Genomic DNA, 13,160 nt, shown 5'->3' on the forward strand with positions numbered 1-13,160 from the left:
GACTCATAAAGTGCTCTTTATTGGCATCTGAAAAAGAAGTGCCTCAGCCTTCAAGGCTGGGACAGAAGTTGGGGAGGAGCTGCTCTGCCCCAGGCTCAATACCAATAGACCTTCTTGTATTTCCGGGTCTCCTTGATCCCCATGGCCTCCATCACCTCCTCCTGCAGTGTCTTTAGACAGGGCACATAGGTTCTTTCTAAAGCATCTTCCACTGATGTGTCTTTGGGGCCATCTGTTAAGCCAGAGGAAACTTAGATGGGTGGGAGGGCTTGCCAACTTTCATTAATGTCCCCTACTCTCACTCCTAGCACCCACCCCTGACCTTCCTGCCCCTCACTCTCACCAATCCACGTTTCAGGGACGATGCCATCAGCTCTGGGAAATTCGGGTTTAGGGATAATTCTCCCTGATCGTGTGGAGACTCGTACCCGCTCTCCTGCTTCAGTAAATCTCCACTCGATCTCAGTGGGTTTCCTGGTGGATAGAAGAGGTGAGCCTGGCCTACGAGCCAGGCTTCCTGCCACCCTCCAACCCAAAAGAGTCAGTGGTTCAAAACACAAGGGTTACCACCGCGTTTCTCCACCTCTGTGTTGGGGTTACCCGCAGGGAATCATGTCCATGAGATGGTCCCTCTTAATTTCCAGAGCATCCAACCCACCATTCCCATTGGACAGCACTTTTTGGACCCAGAGGGTGAGAAACCCTCTGCCCAGAGCCCCGTTGCTTGCCTGTCCATAGGATCCACAAGTTTGACCTGGCGGTGGAGCAAGGGGGCTTCACTAGGGATCATGGTTCCCCGGTAATCCATGGTCTTGCCAATGTAGCGGTAATGCTGTCCAAGAGAGGGGAGTGTCAGAAAGCACGGGGTGTGAAAGGGGTTTGCCCTTGCTACTCGGCGCATTCAGCCCAAGTTGAAAAGTAGAAGGTTCAGTAATGCCGCCATCCCCTCAGCCAGTCTCCTGCCACCCTGTGCTGCTCTGAATGGAGAGGGACAGATGAGACAGGCTTCCTGAGCATCCCCATCCCCTCTCTCAACTTACTGTGTTCAGCCCTCCCACGACCACCCAGTTTCGCTGCCGGATAACTTGAACCACTTTGCCCTGCTTCCCGGCATCCTTGCCTTCTAGGATCTCCACCTGTGGGAAGATACGAAGGTTAGGGAGGGGGATCCTTGCCCAGGAGGTTCCCCATCACTCTACCCCCTGTATGAGGCTCTCACCGTGTCCCCACAGAACAGATACCAGTCTTCATCAGAGATGGGTTCCACAACCACTGGGCGCCGCCTGATCCATGGGGGGTTCTTCCTCTTGTCTGCAACAGAGCCTGGGGGGCTCATCCCATAGCGGTAATGGGGGGGCAGAGTGACCTTGGATGCCAAGGCCAGCAGGGCAGAAAGACGCATGCCTGGAGGTTGTAAGAAATCCCTTTGCCAGCAAAACGCTCGAAACCTTCCTTGTCAGCTCTGGGCAGATGGATAGAAACGGGAACAAAGAGGCAAGGGAAGGAACATTTTTTAAAGCACTTACTCTATTGCTCAATGGACCTCATCACATTGAATCCTCACAAGAGGTTATCATCTTTATAGATGAGAAAATAGAAAGGTCAAGTAACTTGCTTATGATTACAAAGCTACTACATTGGAGAATCAGTATTCAAACCCACATATATCTGACTTCAAAGTCCAAAAAATTCATTAAGGACAAGGGCCATGTTATCTATCTCACTCTTGAATCCAGAGCTTGGCCCCTAGTAGGTGCTTAACAAATACTTATTAAATCAATGTATGAACAGCAGGATAGGAAGAAAACAGAGGATGGAACGCTGGCATACGGCCAAAAGGTAGGCAGTTGTAAATCAGTGAAATGAACAAATAGGTAGCAGAAATAAAAACTGGGGTTAAAATGTCCCTATCCCACTTAGAATTCCTATCCTCAGATAGGAAATAACCACTCCTCCCTAAGATAGCTCCTTTTCTAAAGGAAAAGGACCCAGGGCCAGACTCTAGAATTACTGAGTCCTAAATTTCCCAACTAAGTATGTTCTCTAAACCACTCGATTCTCAATTAATGAGGTGGTGAATGAACTGAAGGCATAAATGGTAAGTGCTTCAGTTAACTGAATACTTGCAACTTACCACGTGCCATGCTAAGTGCTTTCCTGTATCTCATTTATGCCTAAGGACAACCAAATGAAGAAGTCATGATTAACCTCATTTTATAGATAAAAATGAACCCTAACTTCAAAGACAAATAAAGATACTACAATGGCATAAAGAGCCCTGGACAAGGAAGTCAGACCACCTGGGTTCTACTCCCTGCTCCACCATCATCTTACTGTATGACGCTAGGCAACTTAACTTTTTTTTTTTTTTTTTTCTGAGACGGAGTCTTGTTCTGTCGCCCAGGCTGGAGTGCAGTGGCATGATCTCAGCTCACCACGACCTCTGCGTCTTGGGTTCAAGCGATTCTCCTGCCTCAGCCTCCTGAATAGCTAGGATTACAGGCATGTGCCACCATGACCCGCTAATTTTTTTTTTGTATTTTTAGTAGAGACAGGGTTTCACCATGTTGGCCAGGCTGGTCTCGAACTCCTGACCTCAGGTGATCCATCTGCCTTGGCCTCCCAGAGTACTGGGATTACAGGTGTGAGCCACCACGCCCATCCAGCAATTTAACTTTTGAATTTCAGTTTCATCATCCATAAACATTTACAGGGTTGTGGGTGTCATTTAAATTATTTTAAATATTTTAACAAAGCAAGGTGCAAAATAATGTATTATTATCCCTGTGGGGTAAATATACAAATATATATTCCAGCACAGTTATATTTATGGAAAGGAAACAAGAAACCAAAGTACTTGTTTAAGGGGAGAGGAACTGTTTGGGAGGTCTGTTAATTCCATTTTGTTCCTTCCCGTAACGTTTGCATTTTCTAACCATGTGCATTTAAAAATATGTATTAACGGTTTATCTGAACAGTGAGATACTGGCTCATTTTTCTTCTTTATACTTCTCAGTATAAAGGCCTGATGTTATTTTCGGAAAAAGAAACAAAAACAAACAAAAAAAAACCCCACCTGTTATTTTCAATTAATGCTGACTGGCCTAAGTGTTCCTGTGAGTATTCAACAAATGCTTAGAGAGGACTACTATATGACAAACCTAATGCTGGGAATTTCATTGCCGGCATTTGGTCTTCACATTGCCCAGTGAGGAAGGTGAGGTTGCCAGATGCATCGTAAAGTCCCTTTTACAGACAAGGAAATCAAGGCCCTGAAAGCCGGAGTGACTACCCTGGTTCATACAGCTTGACTAGGAGCAGGGCCAATCTTAAGACCCGAGCCTTCTGTGTGATTGCTGCAAGGAGCCCCTTCACCTCAGTCAATCCAGGTCTGAACCACCCCAGCCCAGAGCAGCTTGCATGCCCCCGAGATCCTTCCCTTCTTTCCCTTCACAATCTGGAGATGCTGCTGGTGAGCGTCCCGCAGTGGGGTTTTCCCTGCATGTTCTGAAGGCGCAGTGCAATGTAGTGGGGTCGAAGGTCTGCCCTCTCAGGTCACGGCTCCAAAGGCTTCCCCCACCAGCCTCATCCCAGACATCGCCAAGGCCTAGCTGTCTTCAGCACCCACCCGCTCCAAACTTCCGGTGCAAATAAACCCTGGGGAGGCGACTGAGCCATGGCCAGGGAAAAGGATAGGCTCTTCCCGCACCTGCCTCTCGGACGGGCACCTCTAGGGCGGGCGGCCCTCACCTCCACTTTCCGCGGCACTTCGGATTTTCAGCACATGGGCCCTCAGCGTCCCCTCCCCCGCCACGCCCGTCGACTTTCTGGGAGTTGTAGTCCAAGTGTAAAACGGAAGCTCAACCACGAATCTTACCTCTCAGCATGCTGGGAGTTGTAGTCCGCCGCTAGAAAGCTGGAAACAGGAAGTTTGGCGGGGGTAGGAAATCAAGGAAACCGGAACACACCATGAAGCATGTCGGGAATCGAAAGGCAAGCTGGTTCGGCTGGCCCGCCTGGCACATTCCCGCGCATGCTCTGCGTGGAGGCCGCTGGGAATTGTAGTTTCTAGAGAAGAAGGCTCCATTTTCTAGGTGGTTGTGGCTTCCTGTTCAAGGCAAAGGGCCGCCCTTTCCAGACAGGGCTACCGCCAATGCTCTCCCTGTCCTTCTCTGCTGGAGTGGGGGCAGGGCAGATTCAAAAACTGCCGGTAGGCTTTCTAGAGGAAGGGATGAAACGTGGGCCCTTCCAATGCTAGTAGCCGATCTAGTTACAAAATGTCAGATCTGGAAGGAAACAGAAATGATCTAAACCAGTCATTCCACTTAACTCAGGGAGTACTGGCGGAATTTCACCCTACCAACCCCCTCCCCCTACCACCCCATCACCAGCTAAGGGTGGCAGGTACCCCTAGCATTAGCAAGGAGAAAGGGTTATCCTATTATTTGACTTGCACTTTGGGGTCAAATTGTTTATACAACCAGCCTCCAAACTCCCACTTCATGGCCATCTTGGGCTGTGGCCGATACTCGCATCCTCCCACACCCCACTTCTTGTGCAAACCCTTTTTTAAAAAAAACTTTCCCAGGTGCGTTAAACAGTGGCTGGGCAGGAGTAGAATGAATGGTGTGGTTTATTCTACGACTCTGCCCACAAGAAGTTTGGATTTCCAAATGCCTAAAAATGGAGGAGGTTGACACCCTCTACCTAAATCTGAGATGACCTGGAAATCATTTGCATTCCATTACCCCACTTTCTGTCTTCAGTTAACCAATACACCCCCAAAGAATCAGTCAGAATCCAATATAGTAATCAACGGGTTTTATTTTCCTAGAACTGAAATCATCTACGGTTCTCAGAGCTAAACTTCCAAAGCTACAGTCAGCAATTTTTCATCAGAGCCCAAGGGAGAGGGGCCAGGGTAAAAGAGACGAGACTGTAGAGAGGCATAGAGAGACCAGTAGGAAGAGGGTGGGAGAGGGCACTTATTTCTCTCTGTCCTCTCAGTGGGTTACAAATCAGATCTGGTGACAACACTGAGGGGGCCAGGTCAGGGTATGTGGATGAGAAATGACACTGGAAGGAACATCAAAGCCCCAGCTACAAAAAGAAAGTCATCAAGCCCCAAATAGAAGGGGAGCCTCCCAGTGCACCTCAGAAATGGGGGCAACGATGGGGAAGGAGCAGAATGGAGAGCACACAAAGGGTTAGGGGTCTTTAAAATTTTTTTTTGTAATTTTCTTTTATTAAAAACATTTCCTAAAAAATGTGTCTTTTCCTTTATGTCTGGGTGATATATATGACTATAAGCTGGCCTTGAGCACTGTGTGGAGAGGAAAAAGGACAGCTAGGAGTCTTCCCAAGCATCCTATTTGTGGCTTCAGAGATCTAAAGGGGGACAGATGCTCAACACTCCCACCCAAATGGGTAAAGTCAACCCTTCAGGTCTCAGGTCCTTGGCCCGAACAACTTGGAAGCCCCAAATTCTCTTGATGATTAACTACAACTCCCAAAACTCTTGGGGTCGGCAAAAGGAAAAATGGGTGTTGTCAATCATCAAGGATTTATGGAAAGGAGCCCCTCCCCTACAAGCTGTCCCACTTTCCCTGAATCTAGGCAGCTGGGATAATAGGTGTAGCAGGGGACAGGAGCTCAGAAGGAGGCCGCCCTCCTGTGCTGCCCCCACCCCGCATTTGAGGATTGCCCCTCCCAGGCCCCACAAGCCCACCCTGCTGTTGATGCTCCATCCTTTCCATTCCTACCCCTGATCCCAACCCAGAGGTCCAGAATGCCTAGGAGAGTGGGAGAAGGGTGTCAGGAGGTGGGAGCAGTTGTCCCAGGCCCCAGCAGAAGCCTGGAAAATAGCTCCAAGCGGAAGGAACACAGTGGCCTCAACTCATTCCAGGGAGAAGACATGGCTCTGACTCAGATCATAGGAGTATGGGGACCTAGAGGTGAGAGCCAGGTGGCCTGCCCCATCCAGGTCAATCTCCATGGGCTGGGCTTGGAGTGGGAAAAGTGAGTAGAAGAGGAGAGCAGGTTGGGGTGGGAAAGGGGTTCCCAGTTTGCAGGCCATGGCCAGTTTCCCCAGTAGCACCCAGACAGCAGCAGGAACAGGGTGGGGGCTCCTCTTGAAACATTGGTGGCTACAGGCTGTGAGGGAGGGTTGGAGGGGAGAAGGGTTAATGGTGTGGCCTTGGCCTGGCCTTGCCCCAGCCAGTGCCGGTCTCCTAGGAGAGCCCACCCTGCCTCCCGAGAGGCTGACCACTGCAGGCCCTTTTCATCCTCTTCTCCGAGAGTGGCCGGTCCCCCCTAGTCCAGCTGCCAAGGGGTCAGGGGGCTCACTCACCTCTCATGATCTCTGATGCCTGGGGCCTCAGCATCTTCCTTGGTAGCCTCTTCCTCTTCATCCTCCTCCTCTTCTTCCTCTTGGGGAGGCCCCCGGCCAGAGCCGGGCTCAGAGGGGGTGCTATTCTTTTCCACCTCCATAGGAAGGGGCCTCTCAACCTCCAAGGTGGCTGCCTCCTTCTCCTCTCCTTCAGGGTTTTCTGCCTCCTTGGGACGTTTAGGAGAGTCCTAGGCAGGATCAACAGAGGAAGTGGGCTGAGGCTGGAGAGGGAGGCCACCAGCCACCCACTCCTCTCCTCCGGGGCTCCTTCCCAGGCTGACACCCACAGTCCTTCCCCAACCCTACTAGCTGAAATGCCTTCTGTGTCCCATCTGGTCAGCTGGGGACTCCCCAAGACTAGGGGCTGGATCGACCTCTCAGACTGGGCACCCCTGAGGCAAAGCCCTGCTCCTGTGGGATACCCCATGGGGAATGTTGAGGGGGGCCCAGGCCCTGGGCAGGCAGCAGTTACCTCCAGCAAGTCCCCTGCTCTCCTCTTCAACGCTCCTTTCTCGTTCTTCTCCTTGGCTGGCTCATCAATGACCAGCTTCCCTTCCTCGTCGCTGCTGCCCTCTGCATTCCCCTTCTTATCACCGTCACCCTCTGCAGCTTCGGGCTCTGGTTCAGGCTCTTCCACACAGCTCTTTTTCTGGGAGGACTGCAGCAGAGACAGCACAGGCTGAGTGGCACCAGTCGCTGCCATGCTGGGCCCCCTCCCCAGACCCTCCCTCAGCCACTCACTCCTTCCTTTTCCCGCCTCTCCCCCACCCCCACCCAGGTGCCCAGTCTCACGAGTGATTTGAGACCCACCTCTGTCGGATTAGCCCCGGGGTAAACCCACTGGCCGGGCAGGCAGGGCTCTGTGCAGGAGGGGGGAGGGCTGGAGCAGGAGGCAAAACCTCGGGTCAACTTCTCCCAAAGGGAGCTAGGACCCTTTCCCCGCCAACCCCCGCCCCCCACCCTCCCGCCTCGTCCTGCCCGGCTCACAAGCACCTCCTCCTGGAAGCCTTTGTGGAAAGAGTTAAGGCTGTGTCCTATACTCACACTAGGCCCAACAAAGGCCTGTCCCCACTTACCGCCTCCATCCTGTTCTTGCCCCCCAGACTGCTGTCTCACAGTTGTCCCTAACCACAACTACACCACACAGCCCAACCCTATCCCTTCTTGCAGGAAGCCCCCTTCCCACCACCCTGATTAGCTCCTACCCTGAAAGCCCTGGAGTTTCTGAAGACTAAGCATCATCTGTGGGCCGGGGGCTGCCAGAGCCCACAGCCACATCTGCTTTCCAGGGGGTCTCTGGGGCAGGCGGTGGCTCACCTGATAGCCGGAAGCCTTGACAGTAGGGTTGTTCTCGATCTCCCACAGCCCCTCGCTGAACCCTTTCCTCTTGTTGGGCTTGCCAAACTTCTCCTTGGATTCCTCGTAAGGGAAGAGGTCTTTGGGGCCCAGGAATGCCCTGGTGAGAGATGGGAGACTGTGCTCTCAAGCCCCTCACTGCCCCTGAGCTGCACAGCCCGGCATGAAAGGGGCACCAACACCACCTCACCTTCCCCAGAGTAGTCCTCCCGGGGCCCTCCCGACCTATACCCCTTTGGCCTCCACTCACGTCTCGTGGGTCCCGAAAAAAAAGACTTGGTATTTGTTGGCTGTTGATTTCACGGCAGCCTCAGGCATCTCGTCAATCTGGGGTGAGATGAGGGGGTGAGGTTAGCTAGAGTCCTGAGGTTTTGAGCCTGAGGCAGGGGTGCTGACCTCCAAGGCACATTTATATAAAATCAGACTGAGAGGGACCCAGGATAGTCAGCAAGATGGCTTTTGGGCCATTTTTAGCAGTGACACTTTATTCAAATGAAGTCAGACATGAAAGCCCAACAGAAACCCAGGAATCCTTCCCTCTCCGTCACCAGCCAGACAGCACCCATTCTGCCTCCCAACATGTCTGGCCACAAAGCCCCCTGACTTTGCCATCACCTTCTCCATTCTCCACAATCTATTCTCCACAATGCAGCCAGAGTGGGCCTTTGGGAATGTTGGTCCAAGGATTTCGTCCCCTTGCTTCAAAACCCTTCAATACCTTTTAAGGACTCTAGAACCCACCTGTTCACCCCTTCTGCACAATGGCAAGATCTGAATCCCAACTCTGCCCCCACTTGTATGACTTTGTGCAACTTACTGAACATCTCTCTGCCTCAGTTTCCTCATCTGTAAAAGGGAGACAGTCATAGTACTAAAGCTATAGGGCTGTGAGGATGAAATGACCATAACTTGGCATGTGGTACATCCTACACGTCTTTGCTTTCATCAGCCTCTCCCAGTACACTGTCTTTTCTGCTCTGACCATGGTTCTTGCAGTCTCTAATACTCACTCACTCCTGATCATCCTTATAGCCTCAGCTCCGCCATTACTTCCTCCAGAAAGCTTCCCTATCACTCCTGGCCTGGCCGACTCCCTAGGTAAAACTCTTTCCTAAGACTTCCCCTTTACAGTGCTTTCCCAGTTCTAATTTTACACTGATTCACATTATTATTTAACATCTATGTGCACTATCTGGACTAGACCAGCCCCAAGGTCAGAGACCAGCTCTGCTTTTATCTGCAGCACGGTGCTTAGCATACAGTAGGTATATAATTATTTACTGAATGAATTTACCAAACAGCTAAAAGGAAGCTGCTCTGGCTGAAGTGGAGGGGTGAGGTCAAAGGGCTGCCTATCCAACGCCCGCCAAAAGGCTTCTAGGGAACTCTGAAAGGCACATAGTCAAACTCTCATTTTACAGATGAGGAAACTGAGCCCAGAAAACAAGTGATTTGCCCAAAATAACATAGCAAGTTGTTGAGGGCCAGGTCTCAGGTCACCTGACTAAATCCCCCGCCCCACGTGTCCCCGTGGTGAGAAGCGCTGTGGTGAAGGTGAGAGGTGCAGAAATCTGAGGTCAGGGAATCCAGAGGCAGTGGCCTCGCCAGCCTCTCCCAGATCAGGCCTGGAAGCCCAGGCCAAGCTGAGCCAGGGGTGGGTCGTGGGGGAAGGTGGGGCGGGTGGGGACTACAACTCCCAGCAGCACTTGCAGCAGCCCCAGCAGCCAGGCTTCCCGCCGGACAGAGGCCAGGTGGCCATGATGACTGGGGCCCCAGGCGCAAACAGGAGAGACAGAAAGGCCAAGGCAGTGATTAACACACAGAGACAGGGACAGAGGGCCCAACTGGGGGCCTGGGGAGACAGGGTGGATGGGAATGCGCTGAGACACACCCAGGAGAAGGGGTGGGGCCCTGGGCATGAATCTGAGGGGCATCTTGCTCCAGACTTGGAATCTTCAGGCTTTTGGGCACCTCCCCGCTTGCCCCGTGGCCTCTGGGGACAGAGGTCCAGCCCTTCCCCCCCAGGAAGGCCCAGCACAAACTGGGCCCTTCCCACAACCAGGAGACGCTGGGTGTGAGAGCAGGGGGTGGAAAGGCACGCAGTTCCCCCTACAAACACGATCCCCATCGCCATGACAACGCAACCCCGCCCCCGGGGCCACTCAGCAACCAGGAATGTGACCGCCCCTCCCCCCTCCCCCCCGCCCCCCCCCCCCCGCCCCGCCGCCTTCTCTCCGGATTGGGGAGGAAGGGACACTAACACACCCCACCCCCAAGCCTGCAGTCTGGCACCTGGGTCCCCGGCTGTGCTGGAAACCACAGCTAGGGCTGGATTACCGCTGCAGGGGGTACGGGGCGAAAGGGGGCGTCCTTCTCAGGAAGCCAGACCTGGAGCAGGGACAGAGGAGTCGGTCCTCAGCCAGGACGCCTGGGTCCTGTTACCAGCTAGCTCCCATCCTCCTCTTAACAGGGGGAAGCAAAAAACAAAACGAGCGCCCCCAGGGGTTAGAGATCCCAGGAGACAGGCATAGGACAATAATAGCAAACGCCTTTCCTAGGCCTTTCTTCTGTGGATCTGTGTGCACCCAGAACCAGGGGTGGGGGTGGGGACTGAAGGGTCTAAGGCTGGGACTTAGAGCTCTGTATTTTCAGTGCCCACACCTGAGCCAGGGCATTAAGATGCCCACAGTAAATGCGTGATGGAAGAGGAGAAACTGAGGCTTCATAAGAGGGTGTGTGTGGGTGAAAGTTCAGAAATAAGGAGAAATGAGGTTCTTTGCAGAAGCACAGACTGCAAAGTGGCTACCTGGCCACCGTCTCGTGCCACCCCAGCTTCCCATGGAAAGCACACTCAGAGGCAGATAGCTGAATGGTGTGGCAGGGGACCCAGGAGGCCACCAGCTGCCCAGCCCCAGCAGTGGGGGAGAAACAAAAGAACGAATGGGATTAAAAATAGCATGAGGCACACCAGATATGCCAGCCCTGCTGACTTCTAGCTACATAAAGGATGGGTCTAGAGGGAAGAGAGAGGAAGACAGGGGCCTGAGCAGATAGGCATCTCCCCCCAAAGCATCATCCCACCTGGCTCCCTCACCTAGAGTATAGGCACTTGTGGGGAAGGGCCAGGGGAGGTGTGCTCTTCTCACTTGATGGAATTTCTAACCCTTCACCCAAAAGAGGAGAAATCCCTTCTACAGTGACACCTCTATCCCTCAAGCTACAAAGAAAATGTCCTTTCTTACATTTGGAAGTGGAGGGCAGTTCTTCCTAGATGTAGAGGTTATGAGGTCTCAGGGCAGCCCTGTACCCCAATACAGACATCTGTCTTCCAGGTGGTGCCTTTGTATCCAGGCTGTGACTCAAAACAAGTGAGTCAAGGCTAACTGGGTCAGGGTGGGGCCAAATAGTGCTGGGGACCCCACGGTACCCCCTCCACTAGCCAGCAATAGGGGAACTCGGCTACCTCTTAACCATTCCAGATCCAGGCAAGTTACTTATTCTTAGGCCTTGCATTTGCCCGATTCCATCAGACAGGCCTGAGCACATGAAACACCAGCCTCCCAAGCCACAGACACCCTCTGAGGTCCAAAGAGTAATCCGAAGTTTTCAGGTAGAGTGGGGAAAGAGAACTGAACACCTCTCCCCCAGCCTCAGACTAAAAACAGACCCAGCACTTAGGAAGGCAGCAGGGAAGGCTAAGCACACACTGGCTACCAGCCAGGGTTCTGACCACCACACCCAGGGCTGAGGCCTAACCTGACCCAGGAACCGGAAAATCTGGGGCAGGAGACAGTTGGGGCCAGGAAAGTGTGGCAAGCCCAAGAGGCAGAAAAGAGAAGGTACAGGGGGAAGGGGCACCGGGAGGAAAGACGGGTGAGGTCCTGGCTGCCCAGGTTTTCTGGGATTGTGAAACAGGAAGCAGCAAAAGCAGAAAGGGATCAGGGGGGAAAATCCCTGAAGTCTTGGAGGTTAATTGTTAAGAACTTGGAGATCCCCCAGGAAGTTAGGCAGGCGGAAGAGGGAAAGGAGAAGGTTAAGATGGAGTCACACCATCCTTCCAGGCAGGTCCTGCCTATCACGTGGCCCCTCTGGCTGGGCTCTCTCTCAAGCACTGGGACCTTCTAGTTTCACCCAGAATCACCCACCCTCCCCAGCAGCAGGGACTGAGGAAGGAAAATCCACACACGGGCCTTCTTTATGGCTGAAGATTTGGGTTTCCTATGAGATGGACGAGTCAGTGAGGTTCCCTCTTACTTCTCATCCATCTCAGGAAGGGCCCCTCAGGCTCTGCCTCTCTAGGGACTAAGACACGGTCCAAGGAATGGTGAGGAGACTCGAGGTCTGTTCTTTTGGAGTACAAGGGGACTGTGTCTGGGAGGTAACAGCCTTGGGTGTAGCCATCCCTGCAAGTATCACAATCAAGAGCCAGAGACAGGCAAAGTGTGGGGCCCCACCTCTTTGAGATCCAGGCTGATCTCCCTACCCCAGTTCTAACTTTATCTAAAAGGTCCAGGCCTCAACAGAGGAAGAAACGCTGCCTCCCCTGTCCTTCCCTTCTGTCCTGGAGGCCCAAAGTGGAGAGAAAATGGATGGGATCCCTAGTCCTAGGGACTGCCCTTACTCCAAAGGCCACCAGAAACTTGAGGTCTTCCTCACAGGGGCCAGTGTGGGTCCTGCTGTGTCCCTGCCCCTTTTCTCTCTTACCGGATGCAGAAGGGGTTCCCTGCAACCCACATTCCAGCTAACACCCACTCCCCAAGGGCTTAGTCCAGCCTCTGGACTTTGTCCCACCCTCAGGAGGTAGGAACAGTAGAGACCTGGGTTCAGTTCTTGTCCTACCCACCAGGGCCTTGGCATCTGGGCCAAGAAGCCAGCTGGGTCAAAGGGTGCAGGGTAAAGTACAGGAGAGTTGTAACGCAGAGAGTCCCGCTTCTCTTTGTACTTCACTCCCAATAGCGGAAGCCGGTCCTCATTTGATCCATCTGAAAGTTTCACGGAACCAGGAGCTCAAGGCATGTGGGATTAGGCACACTCCTGAGGAGTGGGTACAGAGCGAGGAAGGGTCTCTGAGTTTTCTGAGTGGCCCCAAAGTTGGCCTGATACCCTGAATAAGCCTGGGCCAGACAGACACAGACTTACACTGAGAAGAGCACCCCAAAGATATGCAGTCCTTCTGCCCTTGGATTTTACTCTACAGGAGTCCTACACTCTAGGATACTGAGTCATGCCCTCGCCCAAAACCAAAGGCCCCTCTACACCAACTTTAAGTTGCCAAATGCACTGCCCCCGCATCCCCCCTCCTTTCCTCCAGCAACTGGCAACCTCCCATCCTCCTTACTTAACCTGTCTCAGTCCTTAGGGGAAACATGATGAGCACACCAGGCTTGGCTGCAGGGCCCCACCCTCCCACCTGGCC

At 52.9% G+C, this 13,160-nt stretch overlaps 2 protein-coding genes across 17 annotated transcripts in view, besides 8 other annotated features; both read right to left on the reverse strand.

The window, feature by feature from the left end:
• MRPL24 (mitochondrial ribosomal protein L24) lies at nucleotides 1-5,414 on the reverse strand. Of its 4 annotated transcripts, none has more exons than XM_011509982.3 (6): nucleotides 3,878-5,414; nucleotides 1,220-1,462; nucleotides 1,041-1,136; nucleotides 729-832; nucleotides 344-474; nucleotides 1-232 (listed from the first exon to the last, which is right to left on the reverse strand). In XM_011509982.3, the coding sequence occupies exons 2-6, from the start codon at nucleotides 1,400-1,402 to the stop codon at nucleotides 96-98; spliced, it is 651 nt and encodes a 216-aa protein (XP_011508284.1). In that variant the 5' UTR covers nucleotides 1,403-1,462; nucleotides 3,878-5,414; the 3' UTR covers nucleotides 1-95. The 4 variants fall into 4 exon arrangements, with proteins under 4 accessions (XP_011508284.1, NP_078816.2, NP_663781.1 ...); NM_024540.4 differs by lacking the exon at nucleotides 3,878-5,414 and adding an exon at nucleotides 3,751-3,786; NM_145729.3 differs by lacking the exon at nucleotides 3,878-5,414 and adding an exon at nucleotides 3,710-3,786.
• Nucleotides 3,421-4,160: an enhancer, noted in NCBI's record as "active region_1876". NCBI's record gives its function as "activates an Ori minimal core promoter by ATAC-STARR-seq in GM12878 lymphoblastoid cells {active_cell/tissue: GM12878}" and the evidence as "EXISTENCE:reporter gene assay evidence [ECO:0000049][PMID:35858748]".
• Nucleotides 3,421-4,894: a biological region, named in NCBI's record as "NANOG-H3K27ac hESC enhancer GRCh37_chr1:156711011-156711988".
• Nucleotides 3,917-4,894: an enhancer, noted in NCBI's record as "NANOG-H3K27ac hESC enhancer chr1:156711011-156711988 (GRCh37/hg19 assembly coordinates)". NCBI's record gives its function as "activates a minimal SCP1, AML or CMV promoter by ChIP-STARR-seq in naive H9 embryonic stem cells {active_cell/tissue: H9 hESC(naive)}" and the evidence as "EXISTENCE:reporter gene assay evidence [ECO:0000049][PMID:30033119]".
• Nucleotides 4,805-13,160, reverse strand: part of HDGF (heparin binding growth factor) — a 25,260-nt gene continuing 16,904 nt past the window's right edge. For 3 of the 13 annotated variants that reach the window (XM_047418832.1, XM_047418831.1, NM_001126051.1), the window contains 5 exon segments: nucleotides 7,995-8,071; nucleotides 7,706-7,844; nucleotides 6,861-7,046; nucleotides 6,350-6,576; nucleotides 4,805-6,153 (listed from right to left, as the gene is read on the reverse strand). In XM_047418832.1, coding sequence (XP_047274788.1) covers nucleotides 6,147-6,153; nucleotides 6,350-6,576; nucleotides 6,861-7,046; nucleotides 7,706-7,844; nucleotides 7,995-8,062 — 627 coding nt within the window. In that variant the 5' untranslated portion in view covers nucleotides 8,063-8,071 and the 3' untranslated portion in view covers nucleotides 4,805-6,146. 13 annotated transcript variants of the gene reach the window in all.
• Nucleotides 9,402-9,601: an enhancer, noted in NCBI's record as "active region_1877". NCBI's record gives its function as "activates an Ori minimal core promoter by ATAC-STARR-seq in GM12878 lymphoblastoid cells {active_cell/tissue: GM12878}" and the evidence as "EXISTENCE:reporter gene assay evidence [ECO:0000049][PMID:35858748]".
• Nucleotides 9,622-9,691: an enhancer, noted in NCBI's record as "active region_1878". NCBI's record gives its function as "activates an Ori minimal core promoter by ATAC-STARR-seq in GM12878 lymphoblastoid cells {active_cell/tissue: GM12878}" and the evidence as "EXISTENCE:reporter gene assay evidence [ECO:0000049][PMID:35858748]".
• Nucleotides 9,957-10,654: an enhancer, noted in NCBI's record as "NANOG-H3K27ac-H3K4me1 hESC enhancer chr1:156717051-156717748 (GRCh37/hg19 assembly coordinates)". NCBI's record gives its function as "activates a minimal SCP1, AML or CMV promoter by ChIP-STARR-seq in naive and primed H9 embryonic stem cells {active_cell/tissue: H9 hESC(naive and primed)}" and the evidence as "EXISTENCE:reporter gene assay evidence [ECO:0000049][PMID:30033119]".
• Nucleotides 10,655-11,352: an enhancer, noted in NCBI's record as "H3K27ac-H3K4me1 hESC enhancer chr1:156717749-156718446 (GRCh37/hg19 assembly coordinates)". NCBI's record gives its function as "activates a minimal SCP1, AML or CMV promoter by ChIP-STARR-seq in naive H9 embryonic stem cells {active_cell/tissue: H9 hESC(naive)}" and the evidence as "EXISTENCE:reporter gene assay evidence [ECO:0000049][PMID:30033119]".
• Nucleotides 11,353-12,049: an enhancer, noted in NCBI's record as "H3K27ac-H3K4me1 hESC enhancer chr1:156718447-156719143 (GRCh37/hg19 assembly coordinates)". NCBI's record gives its function as "activates a minimal SCP1, AML or CMV promoter by ChIP-STARR-seq in naive H9 embryonic stem cells {active_cell/tissue: H9 hESC(naive)}" and the evidence as "EXISTENCE:reporter gene assay evidence [ECO:0000049][PMID:30033119]".

Source organism: Homo sapiens, chromosome 1 (genome assembly GCF_000001405.40).
Source record: "Homo sapiens chromosome 1, GRCh38.p14 Primary Assembly".
Classification (NCBI taxonomy): domain Eukaryota; kingdom Metazoa; phylum Chordata; class Mammalia; order Primates; family Hominidae; genus Homo; species Homo sapiens.

What these genes read in the sequence shown, in the direction of transcription:
- MRPL24 (XM_011509982.3), bottom strand. Translation starts at nt 1,402, where the DNA reads ATGCGTCTTTCTGCCCTGCTGGCCTTGGCATCCAAGGTCACTCTGCCC. An exon ending in CTTGTGGATCCTATGGACAG is followed by an intron (nt 475 to 728) that starts GCAAGCAACGGG and finishes TCTATCCACCAG; the next exon opens with GAAACCCACTGAGATCGAGT. An exon ending in CGTCCCTGAAACGTGGATTG is followed by an intron (nt 233 to 343) that starts GTGAGAGTGAGG and finishes CTGGCTTAACAG; the next exon opens with ATGGCCCCAAAGACACATCA.